The 26,217-nt window shown below is 35.7% G+C and overlaps 1 protein-coding gene across 2 annotated transcripts in view, besides 3 other annotated features; it reads left to right on the plus strand.

The window, feature by feature from the left end:
* Positions 1-26,217, plus strand: part of PCDH7 (protocadherin 7) — a 426,432-nt gene that overhangs the window by 302,907 nt on the left and 97,308 nt on the right. The gene's annotated exons all lie outside the window — the stretch shown is intronic.
* Positions 2,427-2,596: an enhancer, noted in NCBI's record as "experimental_78350 CRE fragment used in MPRA reporter constructs". NCBI's record gives its function as "activates a minimal promoter by MPRAs in K562 erythroleukemia cells, with activity observed for the introgressed 4:31027409 variant allele {active_cell/tissue: K562}" and the evidence as "EXISTENCE:reporter gene assay evidence [ECO:0000049][PMID:34662402]".
* Positions 2,820-2,989: an enhancer, noted in NCBI's record as "experimental_78356 CRE fragment used in MPRA reporter constructs". NCBI's record gives its function as "activates a minimal promoter by MPRAs in K562 erythroleukemia cells, with activity observed for the non-introgressed 4:31027802 variant allele {active_cell/tissue: K562}" and the evidence as "EXISTENCE:reporter gene assay evidence [ECO:0000049][PMID:34662402]".
* Positions 20,354-20,923: an enhancer, noted in NCBI's record as "NANOG hESC enhancer chr4:31045251-31045820 (GRCh37/hg19 assembly coordinates)". NCBI's record gives its function as "activates a minimal SCP1, AML or CMV promoter by ChIP-STARR-seq in primed H9 embryonic stem cells {active_cell/tissue: H9 hESC(primed)}" and the evidence as "EXISTENCE:reporter gene assay evidence [ECO:0000049][PMID:30033119]".

Raw genomic sequence — 26,217 nt, forward strand, 5'->3', positions numbered from 1 at the left:
GGTTTAAAGAGGTCTGGAGGTTGTAAAAATAGACTATGACACTCAGATGAGGCTCCTGCGTGTATTTTATATTTCACTATCCCTATTCTTGTCCTGACATCTAAAGCTTCCCCTTCTAAAAGAATTGCTGGGAAGAACAACAATTTTATAGTCAGACAGACCTGAATCAAATTCCTGCTCTCTCTCTAATTTAGCAGTATAATTTCAACATTTCTTTTTTTAAACCTAAAATTACCTGAAGTAAAACTGAGGAGAATTCCTCATTTGCAGGACTATTGTTAGGAGTAAGCAAAATAATATGTGTGTGCAGGTAAGAAACTAAAACAACGTAAGTATGATAATGATCTGACATGACTATTCATTTCGCTGCTCTCCTACTTTCATGTAAGGGTCAATTTTTCCCTCCTTTTTTGTATTCCTCCTTCCTTCCTTCCTGTTTAAAAATTTTATTTTAGAATTACAGAAGAATGATTGTACATAAAAGCTAGGCTACAGGATTTCTCTACCTTACATTCTATTATAGCAAAGAAAGACTGAATACAAAACAAAGCTCCTAGAAATCATACTCAGGTTTTAGGAGGAGTTGAATACAGAAGGAATGTTCAGAGACATGTAAAAGAGAAAGCGTTCCAAACCCAGCAAGGACAAAGTAGTAGAACTCAAGGTCAGGGAATGTAATGAGACACAGCATAAAAGAAGCACTGTCAGACGCTTTGGAGACCTTGATGTCCATTTGGGTGGAATCAGGGATTGATGCTTTTCAGTAAGAAGAGCATTAAAACTTTGAAATGCTAGTTTCTGTGATGTGGAAGGGTAGTGATTTGTTTGAAGAGAGTTCTGTGTTTGAGGAAAGATATACTCCAGAAAAGTGGAGTGGAATAGAGAACTGTGGAGAATAATATTTGAAAAATATGCGCTTTTTTCAGAGCACTCAACTAATCATTGAATGAAACACAATTTCCTTTAATACGTGAAAAAACCTTCAGGGTAGATATTATTCATATTTTACTTTCCTTTTCTCAGTTCAGTTTTTATTCCTGTTAAAAACTGAGATACTAATATCTGCTTAATAGGAGAATTGAAAAAATTACAGGTTACTATTCAATGTTCCTGGTTCAGTGCCAGAAATATATTAGGCTCTCCTTAAAAATGGTAGCTATTATAATTATTCTTGTCATTTCTATTTACGAAATACAGAACTTGAAGCTCAAGAAAATTTTATGATTCTAGATTATGACATAAATAAATATTAGAATCAGTACCATAATTTAAACCTGTTTGTGTATAATACTGAAGATGGATATATTCTTTCCAATTTATCACATTTATTTTTCACTTCAAAGACTTTCTCAAAGCATTTTTTTCTTTGAATCTACATACTATAGAGATATTATTCAGAGAAACAATGTGTGATTTTACTTATAATTACTAAAGAAATTCTCATAGGAACCTGGGTTTTCTGTGACTTTTTATTTTTATTTTTTGAGACAGAGTCTCACTCTGTTGCCTAGGCTGGAGTATGGTGATGCGATCTCCACTCGCTGCAACCTCTGTCTCCTGAGTTCTAAGCGATTCTCCTGCCTCAGCCTCTGGAGTATCTGGGACTACAGGCACGCACCACCATGCCCAACTAATTTTTGTATTTTTAGTAGAGACAGGGTTTCACCATGTTGGTTAGGGTGGTCTCGAACTCCTGACCTCAGGTGACCCACCCGCCTCGGCCTCCCAGAGTGCTGGCGTTTCAGGCGTGAGCCACTGCGCCCGGCCTGTGTGACTTTTTAAATGTTTAAAAGTTATTCAGTGAATAACCTTATGGAGAAATCGTGATCCTGTTTATGGTGCTGGTAATATTTGTTATTTTTTTAGCTGGTGTAATGAAACTCACAATTCTGTGTCATTTTCTCTCAAGAGATATCCAAGAAAAGGAAAGGTTAACATACATTTTTTCAGTATTTTCAGAGAAATTGTCTCACGTATAGGACATGTTGAATTTAACATCTTGCATAGCATCTGCCCTTTCATTTTTAGCTACGAAAAGCTAAATGAAATGGCTGTTAGTATACAAACAGCATTAGGAGAGTGACTTGTTTCTTATGTAGTTCTTCTAATAATTGGAAGAAATCCCAACTCTGGCAGAGTGGAAGTATTTGGAGGATTCTCGTTTTTTCTTTTCTTGTTGTTCAGCTGAAATGTTTTGATCCCACTTAACAAGGATTCAGTCTTGCGTTGTTCTTTAAGTACCAAGGAGATATATGAGATTGTTTTGAAGTAGATGATTTATTTTCTAATTATCATAGGTAGTTAACAGATGCATGAAGAAAGAAATGTTTCCACTTGCCTATTATTTACTAGAAAATTAATCTAAAACCTATCTTTTCACACTATAATATTCATCCACAATCATGCATTTTAAGTGCTTCTTGTTCTTTCCCAAATATATCAAGAACCAGTTTCTCCATTATTTCAGAGATTCCAAGCCTAGTGATTTTTAATTAAGATTGCATTTTGCAAGTCCAGTCTTCGTAAATGTAAAACTTACAGAATATATTTTATGGCACCCACTGAAAGTATGAATATAACAAAAACCCTTTCTCTATTAAAATCTTTGTGGAAAATGCTGGAAGTTTCCAGGACATACAGACTAAAAAAGTAACAATGCTTAACATATAAGACTCAAACGTTTTTAGACAACCACTTGTGGGTATACATGTTTTTTGAATTTCACATAGCTATAATTACTAGTATGTGTCAAACAATTTACCACGCACTGTTATATGCCATGTCTTACACTGCCATTACTGAGAAATTCCAAATAACATTGAGGTCACATTGACTTTGGTACAACCAAAATATTTGCCAGCATTAGACTTTTATCAATAACTCATTAACCTTCTAACATTTTCTCCCTTTATACCCACTAATCTATGACATTTTTCTTGAGTTCCTTCCAATTTTAGACATTTTATTTGAATTATCTTTCTAAGTACAGTGTCATTTGCCTCTATTTTCTGTGCCACAAGTTGTACCTTTGATGTTTTTAAATTTAAACTTTGCATTTTGATGTGGAAGTAGCAAGGATTCCCGAGGCTATGATCTGATCGGCAACAGCCAGGCTAGCAGCAAGGGAAGTTGAGATAACAACAGTGGGCATACCGAAATGAGCATACTGTTACAACACGTGTTCGTAGTTTTATGAACATATTATGGAGCTGACAGATGCTATGATAAATTTGTATGCAGATATTGTCTGCAGCATAATTTTTATGTATTCCCTTTAAAGCTGAAAGTGTATATGTCTGTGAGCAAATATGTATTAGCATACATGCTTTCCTGCCTGCCTAGTTTTCTTTCTTTGGGACAAAACATTCTGCCACCTTGGCTTCCCACATAATTAAAAGTTTCTACACATTATTGATATTTGTAACACCTCTTATTTTTGCCATAGAAATATGTTGCACTATTTGGCTTTCCTTTGGGGGGAAAAAACCTGCACACACACATAGACACACATACACACCTGTGGACTCAAGTTTTAAGAGCATGGCCTAATGGTGCATGACTACCACATTAAAAGAAATGCATTCAGTGATGTCACAAAGCTGATTGCCTCAGTTGATCTATAATTTGGTTCATTAATAAAAGTCAGCTTATTGGTAGTATTCTCGCAAAGGCTTCAAATTATTGCATTTTAAGTAAAAATGGGAGTAAGATGCTAACATCTATTTCTAAACTTTTTAAAAAACTAATCTAATGCAATTATAACACTAGAATCCTCTGCTGAAGTCCCACAAACTTTCGTTCATGATTTGCCATAAGGAAACCCAGCCCCAGCTTTGCTGACTAGTAAGATAAATTTATCTTTACCAGACCCAACTCTTTCTGCCATTCTGCTAAGTCTTGGTGGAGTAGCTAAATTAATCCCCCCAAGGACTCTTTAAATTGCCAGCTAAGCTTTCTTGGAACCTCATCACAAATAGGCATTATGTTCTTTGTGAGAAAAATTTCGCTCTGCATTTGATCAGACACCTTAGTTGTTTGCTTGATACAGAACCCTTCACTATTCTTTATAATATTCTACATTATTCAGTTTAAAACTCCTATATTCACATTTATATGTTATGTATGTGTATGTATGTTATTATATTTTATTTTATTTTATTTTATTTGAGACGGAGTCTAGCTCTGTCACCAGCCTGGATTGCAGTGATGCAATCTCAGCTCACTGCAACCTCCGCCTCCCAGGTTCAAGGGATTCTCCTGCCTCAACCTCCTGAGTAGCTGGGATTATAGCCATGCACCACCACGCCCAACTAATTTTTGTGTTTTTAGTAGATATGGGGTTTCACCATGTTGGCCAGGATAGCTTCAATCTCCTGACCTCATGTACCGCCCACCTTGGCCTCCTAAAGTGCTGGGATTACAGGCGTGAGCTACTGCACCCAGCCTGTATTTCATTTATATATGCATAATATTTATATATGCTTTCCTATATACAAGTATATTTGACATTAAAATGGATTATTAAAAGTGATTATGTCTCTGACTGTTGGTTCCCTTGAAATTACTGTGTGTAACATTTCCATGTGAACTAACCTGCTTTGTATCAATCCTGCTTATCCTTTATTGGTATTTTATCAACTTGATTTAATTTAACTGTAGAAATGCTTCAGTTTCCTGTGGAAATTAAATTAGCCAATTGAATTTTAGCTGCTGCAACTTTTTGTATTTAGATGACTTATTAATGACCATGGTCATTTTGTACCTTTTATAACTTTTATTTTTAATTTTTTTTAATACAAGAGAAATACTCTAGAAAGTATTCTTAGGTAAGCCAAATTATTTATTTTGTATGGTACTGACTTTGAGTAGCCTTAAATAATGTCCGCTGACATAGCTATAGTGATATTAGGATATATAAAAAGTTATATGATATGCAGTGTTATACACAGGAATATTCCTAGAATAAGAGGATTTAAGAATGTTCTTTTATTTAAAATCCCTGGGTTTTTTTGTTTCAAAGTTCCTGCAGTACACCACACTCAAGCTTAATTATTTAAATGTGAAAATCTTCCTTAAAACAGAATAGAGGAAGTTAAGTGTTTCATTTCGAAATTACCCAAATTGTAGTACTTTGGGCCGCTGAGGTAGTAGGACCTCTTAAGGACAGAAGTTTGAGACCAGCCTGGGCAATATAGTGAGACCCTGCTCTAAAAATAAAATAAAATTTAAAAATTCACCAGTCATGGTGGTACACCTGTAATCCTAGCTACTCCAGAGGTTGAGGTGGGTTGAAGTAAGAGGATCACTTGAGACCAGGAGTTATGGCGAGGTCTTATCGCACTACTTCACTCCAGCCTAAGCACCAGAACAAGACCCTGCTTCAAAAAAAAAAAAAAATACCCAAACTTTAGGATTAATATTAAAGGTATTGAGGTAACATTTTAAATTTAACCTTACATGAGCTACAGTTCTTCATGATGGATAATGCATGAGATGAAAAACATCGAAAAACATGCTAATCTTCCAAAAAGAAGCTCATTCTAGAATAATTTGAGGCTTTGGGAGATAATATATTTATGAAAAAAATAGAAAAACAAATTATTGTGTCATAAAAGCGATTATCCCAGTAATGAGGAGCAACCCCAAACTGGTTGTGTGACATTGATATATTTTGATGATTGACTATGCCCAGAACAGCTGATTCAGCAGGGCAGAAGAAATGTAGTTTTGGCAAAGGTGGCAAGAAATTTCAGAAACAATTACAAAATTTTATCTCTACCACCTGAAGTGTAGCAAATTTTAAATATTTCTTTGATTTTGAAAGGCCTTGTTAATCATTTCTTTGATTTTGAAATGCCTTGTTAATTCTTTTTACTGCTAATCATTTGTGCTCTCTGACCAGCATAAAACAGCTATAGAACATTAATGCATCACAAGCAACTGTAACCAAATTAAAGGCCTATAAGTCCATTTTTTTGGTGTTGGAGATTCTGTGCCTATTTCACCTAATGTACTTTTAACTAACCATGAACTAAAAATAGTAGCTTGCTTCTGAAGATGGTGGGTCTCAAACATCAAAACAGAGTCAGAAATGTCCTAGGTGCCCAGACATCTAGAGGGGCGCTCAGCAGATGGGAGTCAATGGAGTCTAGAACAAAGTGTTGGATTAGAGTGGGTTCTGAGTGGAGCATGAAAACCAGATATTTGCAGGCACAGCTGAAGGCTTTGAGGGCACATTACTCCAGCATTTTCCTGGGAAATAGCGGTGCTATTATAACGGTTTAGCACTGACAAGTCTTGGCTCATAGCTCTAGCAAGGAAGTTTATAGAGGACTTTGAAGTCAGACATACTTGGGTTTGCACATTAAATCTGCCACACTCCATTCATATTATACCCTAGATGGAGTGGTCCAGAATTCTAATAAGTGAGTAGAATACCAGATGAAGAATCCGGGCAACATTTGGAAACTCCAGGCAGGCAGATAGGCCTGATACTGTAGATCTGGTATGAAGCCCTTAGCTCTGGGTTGGGGTTCAGGCATAATAAAGTTCCTAAGGATCATACACTAGTCTAGGCCTCAGTCTTAGAATGGACCTTGGCAACTCTGTGGGTTCTGAGCATAAAGACAGAGAAAGAAAGACTAATGCAGAAGTAGTTTAGAAAACAAAACAAACCCACTAGACTAGGCTGGGTTCTAACAAGTCTTGAAGAAAAGCTCAGTTTTCTAGTCATGAATGAATTAGCTACTCAAAAGACCCAATGCAGGGCTACAAATTGTGAATTTGTAGCTCTGCAGTCATTAGTACTTCTAACTATGACTGACAGGACAGCCTTTGTGTGGGTTGCGTGTGTATGTTTGTGTGTGTGCATGTGTGTGTGCATGTGTGTGTGCATGTGTGTATGGGAGTGGTGTTCAGCAGCAAGACTGCCAGTTATATTCATTTGTCCTATAAGACCTACCCTTGCTGCATCATCTCAGCAATCCTTCCTTGTATCCTCAAATTGCTTTGTCTTCTTTAGGGCCAGCTATTTAGTACTAGGATGTTATTCTTCCTCACAAATAATGGAGAAAGACATGTAGTTATTTGCTCAATTACCAATAATAACCCAAACTTTTGCATTTAGGAATGCTATCTGAAGACTAGCCAGGGTTAGCTATAGACAAAGAGGGAAAGAAAAAGAAAAAGAAGTTGAAGTTTGTTCTCCAAATTGTGTCTTCAGGATAAGAGCCAAGTTACACTTTTATTTACATATAATTTTAATCATGAACAGCATAATTTCATCTTATTTTAAATTATTGGTGCTAAGAAAAAAACAAGTAGAAAAAAAGACTGAAAGTTTTAGTGAATTTCAATTACTTATGGCTTAGCAGCAGTAACTGAAGAGCTAATTTGTTTAGTAATGAACTTTATCTGCAAAAGAAAAGACAAGACAGCTACTGAATTCAACAACAATGACTTACTCTCCAGTTTCAAGCAAAAAAAGACAATAGAACTTGTCTATACCATTCTTCAGATTGGTGAACATTAATCATGTTTTGCTTTTTTAAAAAACTACAAGACAGTTGTATAGGGGCAAAGAACATGTTGATGATCATAATTTTGTTTATTGCAGAATGAATATTTGATGGTTTCTGAGCAAATAAGAGGTGTAGGGCATTTTCCCAAGAAAGCTCTCTTGAAGATACTGAGGCAGAAAATGCATCATCCCAGATTTCAACCAGTTTCCTTTCTAGTGATGTAGGTAAGATCTGCACAAAAGTACGTGTAATATAAAGACAAATGGGGTTATTTGAAGAAGAGTTACAAGTGGTGGTAATATGAGGAGGATGGAAAGATCATATTTGATGTAGGCCTGGAAGAGGAAAGATGGTTAAGATTTTATCAAGCACATATAAAGTGATTAAACAGTGATTCTCAATGAGGAGAATTTTTGACACCTCCCCGACCCCCCAAGGGACATTGGCAATGTCTGGAGACATTTTTGTTTGTCACAACAACGGGGATGCAACTGGCATTTAGTAAGTAGAAGTCAAGAATGCCACTAGACATCCTGCCATCCACAGTACAGCAACAAAGAATGGTCCAACCAAAATTGTCAATACTGTCGATCTTGGAATAAAGAATCATTTCAAGTAGAAGGAAGAATATTCACAAAAGCAAGGCTTATGTCCTTTGGGAAATTCTGTGTGGTCTAGTTTGCCTGAGGTATAGATTATGTGAAAGAGCATAAGATAAGTGAAGGCTGGAAGGATAGTTTATGAATGGATGCGGACAGATGTTGATGTCAGATTAAAGAATTGTATTTTCTTATTTGTTGGCCTTCCCAATACCAACTAATAAAATATTTCACTGGATGTAATGCAAATTAAAAGAAAAAAACTTTTATTATTCAGTGTTATTTCAAATATTCAATAGATTTTGTTCTTTTTAAAAATTTCTTTCCATCTCAGTGTAAGGAATTAAAAGGGCCTTTGGAAACATATACAACTAACTCTTTAGAAGAATATTCCTATTATCTGCCAGTTTCCTTCAAACTTACTTACAAAGAATAAGAGATCACTTCCTTAGATAAGTGCTGGGATTCTTCTAACTTAAGCCTTTCATGACTTTCCTCCATTAAATGTTTAATTATTTTCAAGGCATTTCATGATTATTTTAATTACACATAAGTAGTACGTAATATCTATATGGGGCTAACTCATTTTATTGCTCAATCTCCGAAAGCAGCAAGATAAAGTATAGAGCTACTTATTTTATTTTCAATTAACTTGTTAAAAAGTTTTAGTATATCTGCCTTAGTAAAATTATTTGTTTATAATTATCTGCATGTGTCAGGCTATGACAAACAACTTCTTAAGATCAGAGAAACTTTTTATCAGATGATACGCCCTTCTTAAAAAGTTTGGCCTCTAATTATAGGATTATATTTGTATAAATTATACGCAAGATCATACATCTAGAGAATCCTCATGTGGCTCATATTCTTTTTCAACGCCAAAATAACTTTTAAAAATGTATAAGATTATTGCATTTAAGAAATAATACATGGCTGGACCTTGTGGCTCACGCCTGTAATCCCAGCACTTTGGGAGGCCAAGGCGGGTGGATCACTTGAAGCCAGATGTTGGATACCAAACTGGCCAACATGGCGAGACCTCGTCTCTACTAAAAATACAAAAATTAGCTTGTTGTGGTAGTGCATGACTGTAATCCCAGCTATCCAGGAGTCTGAGGCACAAGAATCGTTTGAATCCAGGAGGTGGAGGTTTCAGTGAGCCGAGAATGTGCCACTGCACTCCAGCCTGGGTGATAGAGTCAGATTCTGTCAAAAAAAAAAAAAAAGAAAGAAGAGAGAAAGAAAGCGACAGAGAGAGAGAGAGGAAGGAAGGAAGGGAGGGAGGGAGGGAGGGAGGGAGGGAGGGAGGGAGAGAGGGAGGGAGGGAAAGAGTACATGTCATTGCGAGCACTTGATTTTTACAAATAATCAAAATGAGTTATCTTAAAATCAAAATTCAAATCTTGAAACAATCCATTTTATATGAAATTAGAAGATAAGAATTTTGTCATGAAATGATGTTTTATCTTAGAATCTATTAATGGACAGTTAGGGAATAAGGAATAGATTTTGTGCAGTAACTTTTCCTTTGGTCAAGTCTCTGCCTTTTTTGGTAATTATTCACATAATAGTGTTTATGACTTTTTTTTTGTAATTCTTCTTGACTCTTCTTTATTTAAGTTTACTTTTGGACAGGAATCATAGTGTGTTGGTAAGCATTCAGAAAATACTTATGGAATGAGTAATTTTAAAGTAATATTATCTGATTTTTTTATAAGGCAGTTTCCCAAAAGTACAAAATATGAAATGCAAAATAAAAATAATGTTAAAGCTTCATGTAAAGCCAATAGAAATGTACGTTTGTTAGGTCCTTAAAAGTGGACCTCACGGATGGTATCTTACAGCAACATGCTAACAGCATGCTCCATCAATAGGTCTATCAAACTATGTGCAGCAGCCTAACAAATTGTAAAATATTGATTGAAATGATAGCATGTCTTTTTAAGCTTCACCAGGAAAAGATAGTAAAATTAGAGAATCTTTATTCAGATAACAGAAGATAGCATTTCAATGCATTGTATTAATAATAGAAATATAACAAAATGGAGTAAGAGGATGGGGAGAAATATCGAGAGGACTATTTTTGCTGCAGAATTTGCTTCAACATGCTAACTCCAATTGCGTCATGTTATACAACTGGAATCTACATCAGAGCTTCAAAACTTCAATTCAAAAACTCACTTCACGATATAAAAACAAGCTTTTGGCAATGCTTTTTATTCAACATGGCCCCTTACTTGCATAGACAGTTTAATCATTACAGGCATTACCCGACATCCCCCTTTTAAAATCATTTCTCCATCCAATCCTTTAACTCCCAGTGCTTCCTAAATTTCTCACCTCCACTTTCATACTCACTTTTATACTCAGTTGCTACTTTTCTGTAGCTCTTTGTCTTTTATATTAGAAACTATCTAGGCTGGGTGTGGTGGCTCAAGCCTGTAATCCTAGCACTTTGAGAGGCTGAGGTGGGCAGATCACCGGAGGTCAGGAGTTCGAGACCAGCCTAGCCAACATGGTGAAACCCCATCTCTACTAAAAATACAAAAATTACCCAGGTGTGGTGATGCGCCCCTGTAATCCCAGCTATTCAGGAGGCTGAGGCAGGAGAATTGCTTGAGTCCGGGAGGCAGAGGTTGCAGTGCGTGGAAATCACACCACTGCACTCCAGCCTGGGTGACAGAGTGAGACTCTGTCTCAAAACAAACAAACAAACAAACAAAAAACTATCCAGATTTATCCCATCCAGCAAAAACTCAATTTATCCTATCTTGCCACAATAGTCCTCCCTAATAGATTTCTCCTGCCTCCATCATCTTCCCTTTCATCTTCTATCCCTTACTTTAATTCTCTACATCGAGTTGGACCTTGGCTTCAGAGGCATATTAAATGCTTCTCTTTATAGAAAATTACCTTCCCTCATGCATCACCTCAAAAATCTAAGCCAAGTTACCTAATTTTAAAAGGAAATGATTGTTCATTATTAGTAATATACTTTAACAATAATTACGATATAAACAGAAATTGTGTGCATTAAATATTATGGTTTTTGATTTTCAAATTTCATTGTAAATATAGCAGGGGAGATGTTACCTATTCTGAAAACACATTTTTACAATGAAGACAACTAAAGCGTAGCCGCTCAGTACTTTTACAAAATTTCAGATAAACATCAGAATTTAGAAATTGCTACTTTAATATTATCTAAGTCTCATTTTACCTACTAGTAATGCTACTCCAGAATTTTTTTAGGATTGTAAAAATCTATCGTCATTTCATCATTTCCCTGCCCATTGCTTCCACATTTATCCTATAATCTCGCCGTCTGTTTCACTGACATGGCAGACCCAGAGGGCAGGGAGCATATCTTATCTGTGAAATGCTGTATGTAAGTGTGGATTCTCTGTCAGCATTTAAAAAAAATAATAGAACTTCAAATAGGATTGATTTAAGCCTCCCTAGTCAGCAGTTAGTCTTGGTGACATGAATCACTCTTTCAAATGGTAATTTACACCTGTTACCTGCATCCACAGGTTGGAAAATGCTTACACCTTAATTAATTGCACCCTTGTGATGTGGGAGATTGTATCCTCAACTCTGAGACAGGGAGATTAGGGAATAGAGAATCAACAGCTTTTCTAATATTTCAAAGAAGAGTTTTGCAGAAGAAAATTAGAATTCAGGTCACTTTTCATTGAATGATCGATGAGGTTCTTTAGGAATCTGTGCTCTCATGGGAGAAACATGGAGATGGCATCTCTTCCAGTAAGATATGTACTTGTCCTTAGCTTATGCGGTAGCATCAATTCAATATGACCTCAGCAAGCATCTATGTTTTTTTTCCTTTTTTCCCTTTTTTTTTTTTTTTTTTTTTTTTGAGACGGAGTCTCACTCTGTTGCCCAGGCTGGAGTGCAGTGGCACAACCTCGGCTCACTGCAACCTCTGCTTACCGGGTTCAAGCGATTCTCGTGCCTCAGCCTCCTGAGTAGCTAGGATTATGGGCGTGTGCCACCACGCCCGGCTAATTTTTGTATTTTTAGTAGAGACGAGGTTTCACCACGTTGGCCAGGCTGGCCTCAAATTCCTGACCTCAAGTGATTCACTCGCCTCAGCCTCCCAAAGTGCTGGGATCACAGGCTTGAGCCACAGCGTCGGCCACATCTATGTTTCTTAATAACACTTTTGCTCTCTGCTTCTGTAGTGGCTGATATCATCCTCAGAACCAAAGAGCAGGTTGCATGCAAATTACTTTTAGGCGAGCATGACATTAGAATATAATTCCCCAAATGGTAGTGCCACCATGTAATTAAGCTACAACTGATGACAAGTATCTGACATCAGATAATCATTTAATAGAGGAAAATGGGAGGCAGTTCATTATTTTAAAACATGTTTTCTTTAAAGTTCCTTGAGGATGTGGAAGGATTTTCTTGGCTTTCAAATGATTTCAAAATGTTTGTGTGTAATTATTTTTTGGCAGGTTTTAGAAATATATTTATGGTAGCGATAAGGGTTTCCTTGGCTGACATCACTAAATGTTCATAAGACCTGTAAGTGGACTTTCACCTTTGATTTTTTCCCTACCAGAGCACATGTTGTCTGGGTTAATATGCTTTTTGTTCCTTAAACTTGAACAAAATCTTAGGAAGTGCTAAGATAGAAACTTTATAAGGTATTATAAATGTGTTTTACACAAAATGTGAAGGGTTTATTGTTATAATAGCTTAATCTGTACTTTGCTAAGTCTCATTTGGTCTTTTTCACTGAACATAGAAACTGAGAAATTGTAGTTCTTTTTTTGTATTTTTGAGATGGAGTTTCACTCTGTCACCCAGGTTGGAGTGCAGTGGTGCAATCTCAGCTCACTGCAACCTCTGCTTCCTAGGTTCAAGCTATTTTCCTGCCTCAGCCTCCTCAGTAGCGGGGATTACAGGTGTGCACCACCACACCCGGCTAATTTCTGTATTTTTAGTAGAGACAGAGTTTCACCATGTTGGCCAGGCTGGTCTCAAACTCCTGACCTCAAGTTTTCTGCCCAAAACTCGGCCTCCCACAGTGCTGGGATTATAAGTGCAAGCCACTGTGTCCAGCCTGTAGTTCTTGAAGTATAAAGATAATGGAAGATCCTATCCCCAAAAGACTCTGAAACTAACATTTTTACATACATGTGAGGTCAACTTGGCAAATTACAAAGAGAAAATTGAATTAGAGAGTGAACTATATAATGTTCATTCTTTCATCGAAAATGTTTGATTATTTATTGTGTGCAAAACACTATACTGCACTAATAGCATACTCTGTTGTGCTTGTAACTCTAAAGTCAGTACGACTTTGAAAATTCCATACCTGTATTAGTTCATTTTCACGTAGCTAATAAAGACATACTGGAGACTGGGCAATTTACTAAAGAAAGAGTTTTAATGGATTCACAGTTCCACATGTCTGGGGAGGCCTCACAATTATGGTGAAAAGTGAAAGGCATGTCTCTCATGGTGGCAGACCAGAGAAGAGAACTTGTGCTGGGAAACTCCCCTTTATAAAACCATCACATCTCATGAGACTTATTCACTGTCACAAGAATAGTGTGGGAAAGATCCACCCCCCTGATTCAATTACCTCCCACCGCGTCCCTCCCATAGCACATGGGAATTGTGGGAGCTACAATTCAAGATGAGATTTGGGTGGGAACATAGCCAAACCATATCAATACCTTACTACCATCTTTACCTCTCCAACATCATCTCCTGCGTTTTGAGTTAATGTTATTTAATTGTCTCATGTTATTTTCTGCATTTCTCTAACCCCATCTCTGCCTTGTTCTCTATCCTTGAAAACTCTTGCCTGATCTCCCTGAAATTCAGTTTGTTCATCTGTATGTTGGGAATAACAATGTAACCTAAAAATTGTGAATTAAATTAAATAAATTCATGAAATATTTTGCTTAATTATTAGCATATACTAGTTAAGCAGCGATTACTTGCTAATATTGCCATTATTGATATTCAGAGTTCAGCTTAGATATCAGGAGCTCTCCTGGAAGGGGATCTCCCTGGTCCCACTACACTGTGTTCATACTTCTATTTGCAAGTCTAGCCATGTTCTATGTTACTGGGAACCTAATAATTGATGAGTGCCTTGAGAATATGGGCCATGTGTTATTTCTTCCTGTATCTTCAATGATTAAAATATTCAAAAGTCTCAAGTGTTGGAAGAAATGCTCTAGAATATAGACACATGGCTGATAGTAGTTGGGAATATTTTACCTTCTCCCACTGAAAGCAATCATTCTTTCATATCCATTGCTCTCTTTTCTAAAAGAAATGCTGGTGAGTGTACTCTAGAGACATTTAGCCAGTTCTCACTTCTCCCACCCCTTCTCTGCTGTGAGGCCAGCATTTGTGGTGTGGACTTTGCTTTAAATGCTGGAAACCTAGAGGAACTATAATATCATAATAGTATGGTGAAAGAAGGAGGCAGCAGTTCAAGTAGACAGGTCTATGTGACAAGTGACAGATAGATGATGGGTGTTTTCTGGCTGATGATCAGAGTTCATTGACACAGAAAGACAGCAACAAGCAATACTTGGAATTCAGGTAGTCAAGTAGATGGATTCAATAAGGTTTGGCAGCAGATGGTCAGGGCCCAGGCCAAGACTCTGGAGAGCAATCCTGACCTGCAATTCTAGAATTATGGCTAAGGCAGAGATCTTGTTGTCGAAAATAAATTGCACAATATGGAAAAGACAGGTATTCTCAAGGGTTTAGCCAAACTACTTGCTTCTGGGGAAGAGTTCCGAGGAGATTGTTTGATATCTAGTATTCTAGATCAGTGTTTAAGATTTATCAGTACCAAAGGAAGGTTGCACATGCTTTGTTTTTCTTAAATATTGTTCTGTATGTTTAGTTCCTGAAGTTCATGTTAAAATTGTATTATAATTATTATTTACATTACCCATGATAAATCAAAACATTTATTGAAATATACTATTAGAATCTCAAAGTGATGAAACCAAATATTTCTTCCTTAGAAGGGTAAACTTAAATATAAGCAAAATAAATACAAAGGTAGCCAGAGGACTATTTGAGATGGAATAAGAAATTATAAAGCAGAAAATAAATAGAGTTTACTGCTGTCTTATTTTTCATTATAATTTTAATGAATTGTATATCTTCAAAAGATATTATTTTATATTTTTCATTTGTGAATTGTATATACATGTAATTACACTGTATATATTCTGTGACTTGATTTCTTCATCAGAAATTCTGTTTGTGGGATTAGTCCATGCTGATGTGAGTAGCTATAGTTCCCTGATTTTCAATTTATGTTGTATGTTATTGGAAAACATTGTGATAATTTACTTATCAATTCTTCTATTGATGGACATTAGAATCCTTTCTGGTTCTTTGCTATATTTATCAATGCTCTTACCTACACTTTCTTGCAGCATTCTATGATCTTTGTATTTAAAAGTTCCAGTCCACATAAATCTGCTGTTAAACCTGAGATAAGTTACTTTAAGTCGAAGACTCCTTGTGTGTATCATAGGAATGACAGCAGTAACTTACCAGATAGTGTTTTCAAAGAGTAAATTAGCATATACCAAGTGCTTAATATAACACCTCCCCATAAGTGCAAAGCAAATATTAGCTATTATTAATAGTATTACTCAAAAGCAATGAAATAATTTCTGTAAGAATTATCAATTCTAAATATCAAAAAAAAAAGCTCACATTTCTGCTCAGTGTGGTTTAAAGCTCCAAAATCAAAGATTCAATTTGGCATTCTCCTTTAGCATTTTAAAGTTCACTGCACTTTTGTGACAGTGTTAGGATATTTGAATGTCCATCTCAACTCCTTCTACCATCAGAGGCAAATATTAGAGCTGCTCTAAAGGCTGAAAGCCAATTGAAGGGTCTTCCTCATTAAGAAGAAGGAACATGTCTTGAAGTAAAATAGTCTGTTGGGTACAGTTTATAGTGTTGTTGTTTTGTTTTGCTTTGTTTTAGAGATGGGGTCTTGCTATGTTGCCCAGGCTGGAGTGCAGTGGCTGTTCACAGGCATGACTGTGGTGCTCTACGGCCTTGAATTCCTGAGCTCACACGATCCTCCTTCCTCAGCCTCCCAAGTAGCTGGGACTACAGGCACACAATGGGACTTTGCCCAGCCATAGTTTATAGTCTTGCTGCCTCTTCTCTACAGTGCCCAGTCATAGCTCCCAATAGCCACTGCTGACTAACCCCTATTCTGATCTCTGGAACAATATAAGAGAATTCCTTGACTCTACACATTCTAACTTTTCTAGAAGAGCAACTGGAAGACTTATGTTTTTTCTAACTGTTTTGCTGGTGTATGTATGTATAGGCACAGTTCAAAACGGAATGAAAACTCAGCCAAATTTCCTCTTAAGATCACGGAGTAAATTATAAGCAATAATCTCGTGATTATATCTTCAAAACAAAATAGGTAAATTTAATTAATACCAAGCCAATAGACAGAACTTCTAGACATTCAAACTAAGATTGTTCTCCCCTCATGTAGAATCTGCACTCAGTTTAAAGGTTATGTGCGTAGATACAAACAGGGGGCTTCAGAAAGGGGTTCCAAGATGATATAGTGCTGCCTTCTTTATCAGTAGTGCAAATGCCCAGAGCTGAATATTTGTTTTACTTTAATTAAATCAACTTTATTGAAATAATGTGCATAATTTACATTCAGTTAAATGCACAGTATGTTTTTCGATGTATACTGCAGTGTGTCTTGACAACTCTGTATACCCACGTAACCACCACTCCAATCAGGATATAGAATATTTCTATCACTTCAGGAAATTTCTTTGTGCCTCCTTTGAATCCTCTCTTCCATTCTTCCCCACTCTTCCCTGACTCATCTGGGAATCACTGTTCTGATGTTTATTACCATCTTTTAGTGTTGACATTTCTTGAACTTCATATACATGGAAGCATGCTGATGTAAACTTTATCTGGCTCCTTTTGCTCAATTAAATGTGCATGGTGTTCATAAAGGGAAAGGATGTTCTTAAATTGATTTTTGCTGTAAAATTATATTCACTTAAAATTTGTACATGTACAATGATTTAAATAACCTTAGTTCAAACTAATATGTTGTATCAGTTGAAATAAACGAGAATTGATTTCATTTCGGTATATAGGGCATATTCACCATTAATCAGAAACTAAAAACATTTCTTGAGTTTAGGCCAGGTTGGCCAAGTAAAAATGAAGCAAAAATTTACTCATTCAGCAGTTCATTAGGTAAGCCTTTACTCATCACATGTTAAACCAACTTCAAAATTCAGTGATGTCCTAAAAATACGAACAATTTGAGTTAAAAAAAAGACTATTTTTTAAGACCCAATTTTCCCAGATAAATCCCCTCTGGCATATTTTGTTGGTTGAGAAACTAAAAATCAAATTAAGAAAAGCTAAATCATCTGCCAGTTAGTTACTAAAAGTGTTTTCCTGCTTGCCACCATTCAAATGATGTGTGTGCTGAGAAAAAAAAAAAATCCTGGACCAGAAAAGCACATGGGGTTACAGAGTTGTGGAAAAACATTGAAAAATATTTGTCCACTTTCTGAGAAAGGAAAAGTACAATTGCTTTTTGACAGTGCTGACTTCTGTTTACCGGGGCTTGCATTATAATCTCCATCCTTAAAATTCTGTAATACTTCACAAATTTGGAACATCAACTCTATAAGGGATTTAGTTTTATGCTTGCTTATCCATTTATGTGAGTCTCAGGATGAAATTCTACCAATACGTCTTCCTGAAAGAAGGTGCAATATCCATTTTCTTCTGAAGTGTCTCTTCTCATGGGAGTTACCTAGTGTATGGTACTGTCTAACTGCTTTTAGAATTGTTTGCTTGGTTATTATTCCGGGGATATTTTTTGAGTGATGAAAATATTTTAGTAATACATTGGCTTAATTTTCAAATACTGGCATTTTATTTTTATTCACCTTGCTTTCTTCTACTTGGTGTATTTTAAAGAGCATGCTCCTTGCTTAGCATGATGAAATGCAGTCACTGCTAATTATCATGGCTGCAATTTTCAACTTCACAAGTGAAAATCAAACCACAGACTCCTAAGTGCTGGAAGTCATGCAATTCTAAGCAAAATCCTGAAGGAGCACGACACAGAAGGCCAGTTAAAGTTACCCCCCACCCCCTTGCATTGAGCAGTCCTACAACGAAAAGAATTGTCCCCAACTAGACCATTGTTTCAGTTGGCATTGCTTTGCTAGTTATTTACATTTTCATTAGGGCAGGGCAATTTCCCCTCAAACAGGCTGTTGCAATTTGTTTATGTAGCGTTTTCATCCAATCAATATGCTTCTTTATGATGAAGATGCAGAAATGCCACCAACTGGCTTGGGCTATTTTTTAAAAAAATAATGCTGCTTTATAAAAGCAACTTTTACTATTTCTGAGGAATAAATGTCATCCAAGGGGCATAAAATAAACCAAGAATTTTAAAAAGTTTTCTGTTCATAGAAGTGAAATATTTTTTCCTTCAAGAGAGTTGTGTGCAACAGGGGACAAATTGTAGCAATGGGAGTAGGAAAGCTAATCAAAAAGGTAATCATGTGAATCCAGGCAGCATTCCCTCTGCAGCAAGATACTAGTGTTTCTGATCGACAAAGTATGCAGTGAGTTAGGGCACTGAGGTTTTCATCGGCTGAGTGTGCAGCCTCAGTAATGTAGAAATGCAGAGCACTCATTCATATCATTTGAATGAGCATGTTTCAAGGCTTGATTTTTATTCATATGTTTGATTGATTGTCATTTTCTCTCATCCCTGTTTTCTAGATAAGATAGGAGGATAGCAAAGTCAAGCAATGCTTTCCCTTCTAGTCATCAAATTAGAGTAACAGCAGTGAGTCAGATACTCTTGTTATAAAGAACAACCATATATTTTTTCCCAGTAGAATTCTCCAATCTCTTTTTGATCTTTGCATGCTGTATTAATGACTGTTAATTACATTGACATGGAGAATATTTGATTTTTTTGATGAACAGTGTTGCAATAATTTATGAAAACTATCATGCGTGTGTGTCTATATGGGTATGTGTGTGTGTATTTTATATTTATGAATCGTTTATGCAGATCGTTTCAAGAAAAGGGAGTCTTGTAAGTTAACTCCTAACTTAGTTTCTTTGGGGTCCTGTGGGAAGCATTGGGGAAGGATTAGATATCGAAGTCAAACTCAAAAATTTTACTCTTTAGGGAGAGACAATTGCACAAAAATAAATGTGATGTATAGTAAAGTGTAAAAACTACCATTTGAAAAATGCAGATGATCAGTGGTGGATAACATAAAAAAAGAGATTGTTTTCAGCAAAATAATGTGCATAAAGGAATTACTGTAAAGTTTGATGTCTTGTTCAATTTTTTGTTCCTTTAACAGAATACTTGAGACTGGGTAATTTATAAAGAAAAGAAACATATTTATTATCGTTCTAGGGGCTGGAAAGTCAGAGGTTCAGGGGCTACATCTGGTGAGGGGCCTTTTGCTGGTGCAGAGTCCCAAGGAAGCACAGGGTATCACATTCTGAGGGGCTCACAGGAGACAGCCAAACTAGCCTATATAATGGCCCATTCCTATGATAACCAACTCACTCTCATGATAATGCATTAATCCATTAATTCATGAATCCGTGAATGGATTTTTTTCATGGGGGCAGAGCTTCTATAACCCAATCACCTCTTAAAGACCTCATCTCGTAATACTGTTACCCTAGGGATTAAGTTTCAACATGAGTTCTGGAGGGGACAACTATTCAAACCATAGCATCTGGCATAAAATAATGTGCTTCAATGAACATATGCGTGCATGTATCTTTATAATGGAATGATTTATATTCCTTTGGGTATATACCCAGAAATGGGATTGCTGGGTCAAATGGTATTTCTGCCTCTAGGTCTCTGAGGAATTGCCACACTGTCTTCCACAATGTTTGAACTAATTTACACTCCCACCAACAGTGGAAAAGTGTTCCTTTTTCTCCACAACCTCCCCAGCATCTGTTGTTTTTTGACTTTTAGTAATAGCCTTTCTGACTGGTGTGAGATGCTATCTGATTGTGGTTTTGATTTGTATTCTCTAAAGATTAGTGATGTTGAGCTTTTTAAGATATGTTTGTTGGCTGCATGAATGTCTTCTTTTGAGAACTCTCAGTTCATGTTGCCCTTTGCTCACTTTTTAATGGGGTTTTTTGTTTGTTTGTTTCTTGTAAATTTGTTTAAGTACCTTGTAGATGCTGGACGTTAGACATTTGTCAGATGGATAGATTGCAAAAATTTCTCCCATTGTGTAGATTGTTTGTTCACTCTGATAATAGTTTCTTTACTCTGATAATAGTTTCTTTTGCTGTGTAGAAGTTCTTTAGTTAATATTTTCAAGAGGTTAAAGGAGGATGAGGCTGAGCAGTTACTGAGTTTACAAAGGAGATCACTGTAAGCCTTCAAGGCAATTGCTTTGTCATGGTAAAGGCATAGGCTAAAGTGTAAGGGACTTAAAATTAAATGGGAGCTGAGAAAATGGAGCTGGCTGGAAGTAGTTTACCTTTCTCTAAGGATATCTAATGATGAGAGAAAGGAGAGAAGATGGCAGCTTCTGGTGTAACTTATGCCTAAAAGTGGCAATCTCTTAGGGACAACTTCTGTTTATTTAAATACATAAATAGGTCAGTAAGTAAGTAAATAATAGTGGTGCCTACCATTAAGAAACAATGAGGAGAGGGTTCATTCAGTATAACAGATGCCACATTTTAGGGGGCTGGAAAGAAATTAGCAGGTTATGCAGAAAGCCAGACATTCTCAAGATTAACAAAGTGGACTCTGGGATTTTTATACAAACTGTGCAGAGAAAAGTCAAAAGGTATACACATGTCTGTGGGCACACATTTTAATACTATAACTGTGGCTTTTTTTCATTTATATAGTGTAAATTTTATATCCCATATTTCTTTAAGCATAAATATCCTATGACAACAAGGTATTATGGCTTTCTCCCTTTTCATTTTTTTAAGTGTAATTATCAGCAAGAAGAATGCATTCAACAGACACAGAATATTGATTTCATTTTTCATTGATTGACATTTCTGTGTTTTCTTATGCTAGGAGGCTAACAACTTTCAATTTTATGTATTTTATCTAGATTTTTAAAATATAATAATGATTTAATATATGTGGGATAATACATTACTACCACATTTGTGCACTAGAGTTATTCTAAAGTACTAAGCAGTGAAACAGACAAAAATGTGAGTGTTGTTAGTAATATAATTTGGTGTTTTAACAAACAATAACAAGAATCTCTAAATTAATTAATTGGTTATTTTAATAAGCTTGGAGTCCTTTCTTAGGAAAATAAAAATAAGATTCACTATAGCTGTCTTTCCTTTTCAGGAGGAGGGAGATAAAGTTAGTTACTTTTATGTATTTATCAATTTTCCCAAGTTGAAACACAAGTAACATAGGACCTGCAGTGACTTTTGGACCCTGACTTCTCTGCCTCAGGTTTAATCTCAAGCTATCAAGTTTTGGAGAGTCCCCTAAGTATTTTATTTTTATTCATTTTATTTATATTTCTTTTGTGGCCTAGCAGATATACGAATAACCAGTTAGATTTTTTAGGAAGTAAGCCAGCATATTAATGAATGATTTGTAATTTCAAGGTAGTTTATTAATTTATTCTAGCATGGTGGTGACACAGAAATTACTGTGACTTTAGAAAATAAAATTAATTTGAGCTTTAGAGTCTGTTTTCTTGCTTTCTTAACTTCTGGTACTTTATCTGAAGTGGAATCTCTGATGCTCTGGTCTTTCTGATGTGTCTTCTCTCTCTTTTTTCTTTTTGCACTTTTTTTCCCTAGGGATTTGTATTTCGATTGCAAACCTTCTTTGATATCAGGTTTCAGGAAGTAATTGTACACAGTATCTCTCTCTGTGTCTGTGTATGTGTGTCAAAGGGACAATATGAAGAGCCAGAGAGCCATTTCCGTAGTGAACATAAAGGTTCTAGACCAAATACTAAATTAAGAGATTCACACTTACACTGGGCATTCCGTTCCTGCTGTCAGAAGTCATAACATGATAAGCAGAACGGTAGCTGATACAAATGATGGTAGCATATTTAAAATCTTTGGTCAAATGCAGTTCCTGATTTGCTACAGTTTGGGATGGCTACTTGTTAATAAAATATTTTTGGTTGAAATTCTTAGTAACCAATTGATAACACTTTTCATAAATTCGATTATTGCAACCTATCTCTCCTGTAATTATAAAAACCAATACTACCCCATCTACATCCTTGCATTAAGCTGGTAGTACTACAAAGGCTGCCTTTTGAGGACAAGTTTGAAGAACCAGTGTGAACAGTTCTTTCATTGCACTTGTATTTTTCGAAGCACACTGATTCTGATACATGAAAGAATGTCAATTTTACCTGCAGCATTCTTGAATAGGTAGCTGGTGCCAAATTTCAGTAGCATCCTCCAGAGGGCACTGTCACCTGTTTTATATACTGTATAATTTGTATCCTTTTATTAAGATGCTGTGCAATACTTGAAGAGTTATTTTAATCTATTTTTATGTGAAATGCAATCACGCATTCTTTGCATCATCCACAACCCTGCTATCTACAGCAGCTTCCCCTGTCCATTGTTGTAGACCATGGGTTGACTTGTATATCTGTATACAAGTTTTATATCAGTAACATTTTGTAGATTGATCCACCTAGGCTAAATAGTCCAGTCTAGGCCTGTTTAATAAGGATCTTTCACAACACCCCCACTTAACCATAATTTTTCCCTTTTCTTATTAAAATATACTTTATGTAAGTTATCTTACTTTTCACCATATTTATACATATGCCATGCTTGGCTCTGGAGTCAGATTTCTTGGGCTTAAAATACCAGCTCCATCAGTTAGACTATGTGATATGGACCAATGACTTCTCTTCTTGGGTTATTAAGAAGATTATATGAGTTATATATGTAAAATACTAAGCTAATCTCCCTAATATAATATACTTTGAAAGTTCTCTATTGCATTTGCCATGACTCAAATAATCAGGGTTACAGTTTGTGAAATTTAGTTGAACTCTGATGATTGAAAATGTTTAATTTTTTTTCAAAATGTAAAGGATGCTTTTTATTTCTCAGACATAGAGTTTAAAAATCTCAGTTTTTTAAAGCATTTCCAAAAGTATACACACACATGCAAGTTATAGTTTTACAGAAATTCTCTTCTAAGTGACTTAGATTTAATTATTCAAAGAGGCCGAATCTATTGAGTTAAATATTCCAAAGCATAACAAAGTAAACAGTTTAAAATAAATTCTTTTTGTGGAAATGTTACTTACATCCATCATATTAAAGGTTTGGAGATTTTTTGCAAATACCACTTAAAAGGAAAAATCAATTAGTTATAATTTTCAGTTTGCACAGAAATAGCTGTATATACATTATAAATCCAACATAAGCATTTATAAGTGCAAAGAGGGATTGTTTATTTAATAATTGTTATAAAGGGATAAATGAGAATGAAAGGACACAGTTGCTGCTATACCATTCTGTACATAATAGTGCTTAATTGTATATAATTTTGATAGATTTGAGTAGTTAAGTTTTAATATTCTCAAGTTCACTAAAACACAAATTTTTTGTTTGTTTTTTTTAAATAGGCTCAATTTCCAAGTAGTTGAAACTTTCCTTTTTCTCTGATTACACAAATATCACATAACAGCAGTTTTAAAATCAGATTACATGGACTCAAAATCTTCTCTAAGATTAAATTCATGAATAACTTCATGTGGATTTCTCCTCAGCTGCTGTTGTGGGCAAATGTTCAAATACAAATTTCCCACGCATGTGTACACTACCCTATAGCATGATTGACAATTTGTAAGCTCCTAAGTGCAAATCGGTGGTCTCAAAACTTGGTCATCATTTCATCTTTTTTGTTTTTAAATTCAGGAATCATAAACATTGGGTCATGTACAGCTGTATCTTTTGGACAAATGCTCACTGTCATAGGAGCCGCCATCCCTGCCTTTCCCTGATTATCTAGCTTCTATTCACTCCATAGGAGTCACACAATTGTCATTTCTCCCTTCTCAAAATTTACTTCTCAAAATGCACTCATTTGTATCTTAAGAGAAATACAGTAGAGGCAAAGAGAGAAATTATTCAGTTTTTTGATTGATTGGTTGACTGACTGATTTCAGAGCTTTCTTTATGAGTTTCTTATATTTACATTTAGAAATTGATGTTGCTTTGTCAAGTTTGTCATATTTAATTAGCTCGCTCTCATAATTGTGAAGATAAGTATAGCTGATGCCTTAACCTATATTTTATTCTTGTTGATCATTTTCTTCCTTGAGGCTCCTATTTATTTCTGCAGTCATAAATGACTTGAGAGACAAGATTTAAAAAGTGATAAGTTCCCACTTGATAGGAGGTCTGTTTGGTTTAGACTGTAGTGACTTCTTAAATTAACATTTTTAAATGTCCACATGCATAGATGACTTGTGGTTTATTTATACATTTTTAACCATAATAAATTTTACCTTATGGTTGCATAGTAGTTATACTCCTCAAAACTTTAATTAAGCAGTTATCTATATGAGTATTTGTTAGAATATTAGTTCCATGAAGAAAGGGACTTTTTCTTCTTTCATATAATTGTATCTCTACTATCTAGTTAAAGATTGGTACAGTAAATATTTTTCAGAAAATATGTAAAATAAATTTATTATTAACTACTAAATGCTGTTAAATGACAAGAAAAAGAATATCTCAGGAGTCTTGAAAGGTAGAATATTAATGAGAGATGTTTCTGGATTTCTTTATGGCTCTACTCAGTCCTCAGACAAGAAGGTATACATCTATCAAGTCCAAAAACATGTTAACAATCAGAGTATCACAATTTTGGGTAAAATTTAGTCATTCTGTTTTCAATAAAGATTACATCCCACTAAGGCATGTAAATATTGACACTTTCTAATCCATGGCAATATAATTATTTTTAGTCTTCAGGCTTGATGCCAGTTAGAATCTTTCCATGTCAGTAGAATTCAGGACTAATTTGCTGTGATTAGCAAAGAATTACTTTGCAGGCTTTCTATTCATTTATGCAAGGACAGACCTGTTAATTCCAACTCACTGAATTTATATGGGATGCCCACAAAAGTCCTTGGAAGCCTCAAGCTTTTACTACAAATAGTTGATTTTTCCATATGCCAGATACTCAGCTTTTCAGGAGAAAGCATCCCACTAGTACTGTTGAAAAGAGAGAGAGAGAAAAAAAAAAGGCAAAGCTTAATTCTGTAAGTAAGGTTGCTATTGCCACTCAGCAAAGGAAATCGCACTTAACCCACTGCAGTGTAAGCTCTTCTTCCAAACAATCTGGAAAGAACATTATATGAAAATGTTGTCATAGCAGAGCTCCACAATGTAAAAGGACAAATTGCCCTTTGAGAATAAAAGTATAGTCAGGACAAAGACAAATATGATGATATGTATAATTCAACTGTAAACCAGAAACAGAAAAACAAGCTGTGGATATCATTTAAAAGTAATTTTTTTAATTATACTTTAAGTTTTAGGGTACATGTGCACAACGTGCAGGTTTGTTACATATGTATACATGTGCCATGTTGATATGCTGCACCCATTAACTCATCATTTAACGTTAGGTATATCTCCTAATGCTATCCCTCCCCACTCCTCCCACCCCACAACAGGCCCCGGTGTGTGATGTTCCCCTTCCTGTGTCCATGTGCTCTCATTGTTCAATTCCCACCTACGAGTGAGAACATGCGGTGTTTGGTTATATTGCTACTTGAAAGGGGCTTCAAGGCAGGCAAGCAAAAGTGAGAATAGAGTAATTGTGAGTGTTATAGGTAAGTATAACCCATTTCTTCCAAGTCATTATTAGGGTGTGATTTACAAGTTCAGTGATAGGAGGTATAGGCCCTAGTTAGGAGAAACCAGGCATGGATATGCAAGAGTGACACAGACAATGTGGGGCAGCCTGGGAAGCAACAGGCAAGAAATAAGCTACATTT

The sequence above is a fragment of the Homo sapiens genome, chromosome 4 (genome assembly GCF_000001405.40).
Source record: "Homo sapiens chromosome 4, GRCh38.p14 Primary Assembly".
Classification (NCBI taxonomy): domain Eukaryota; kingdom Metazoa; phylum Chordata; class Mammalia; order Primates; family Hominidae; genus Homo; species Homo sapiens.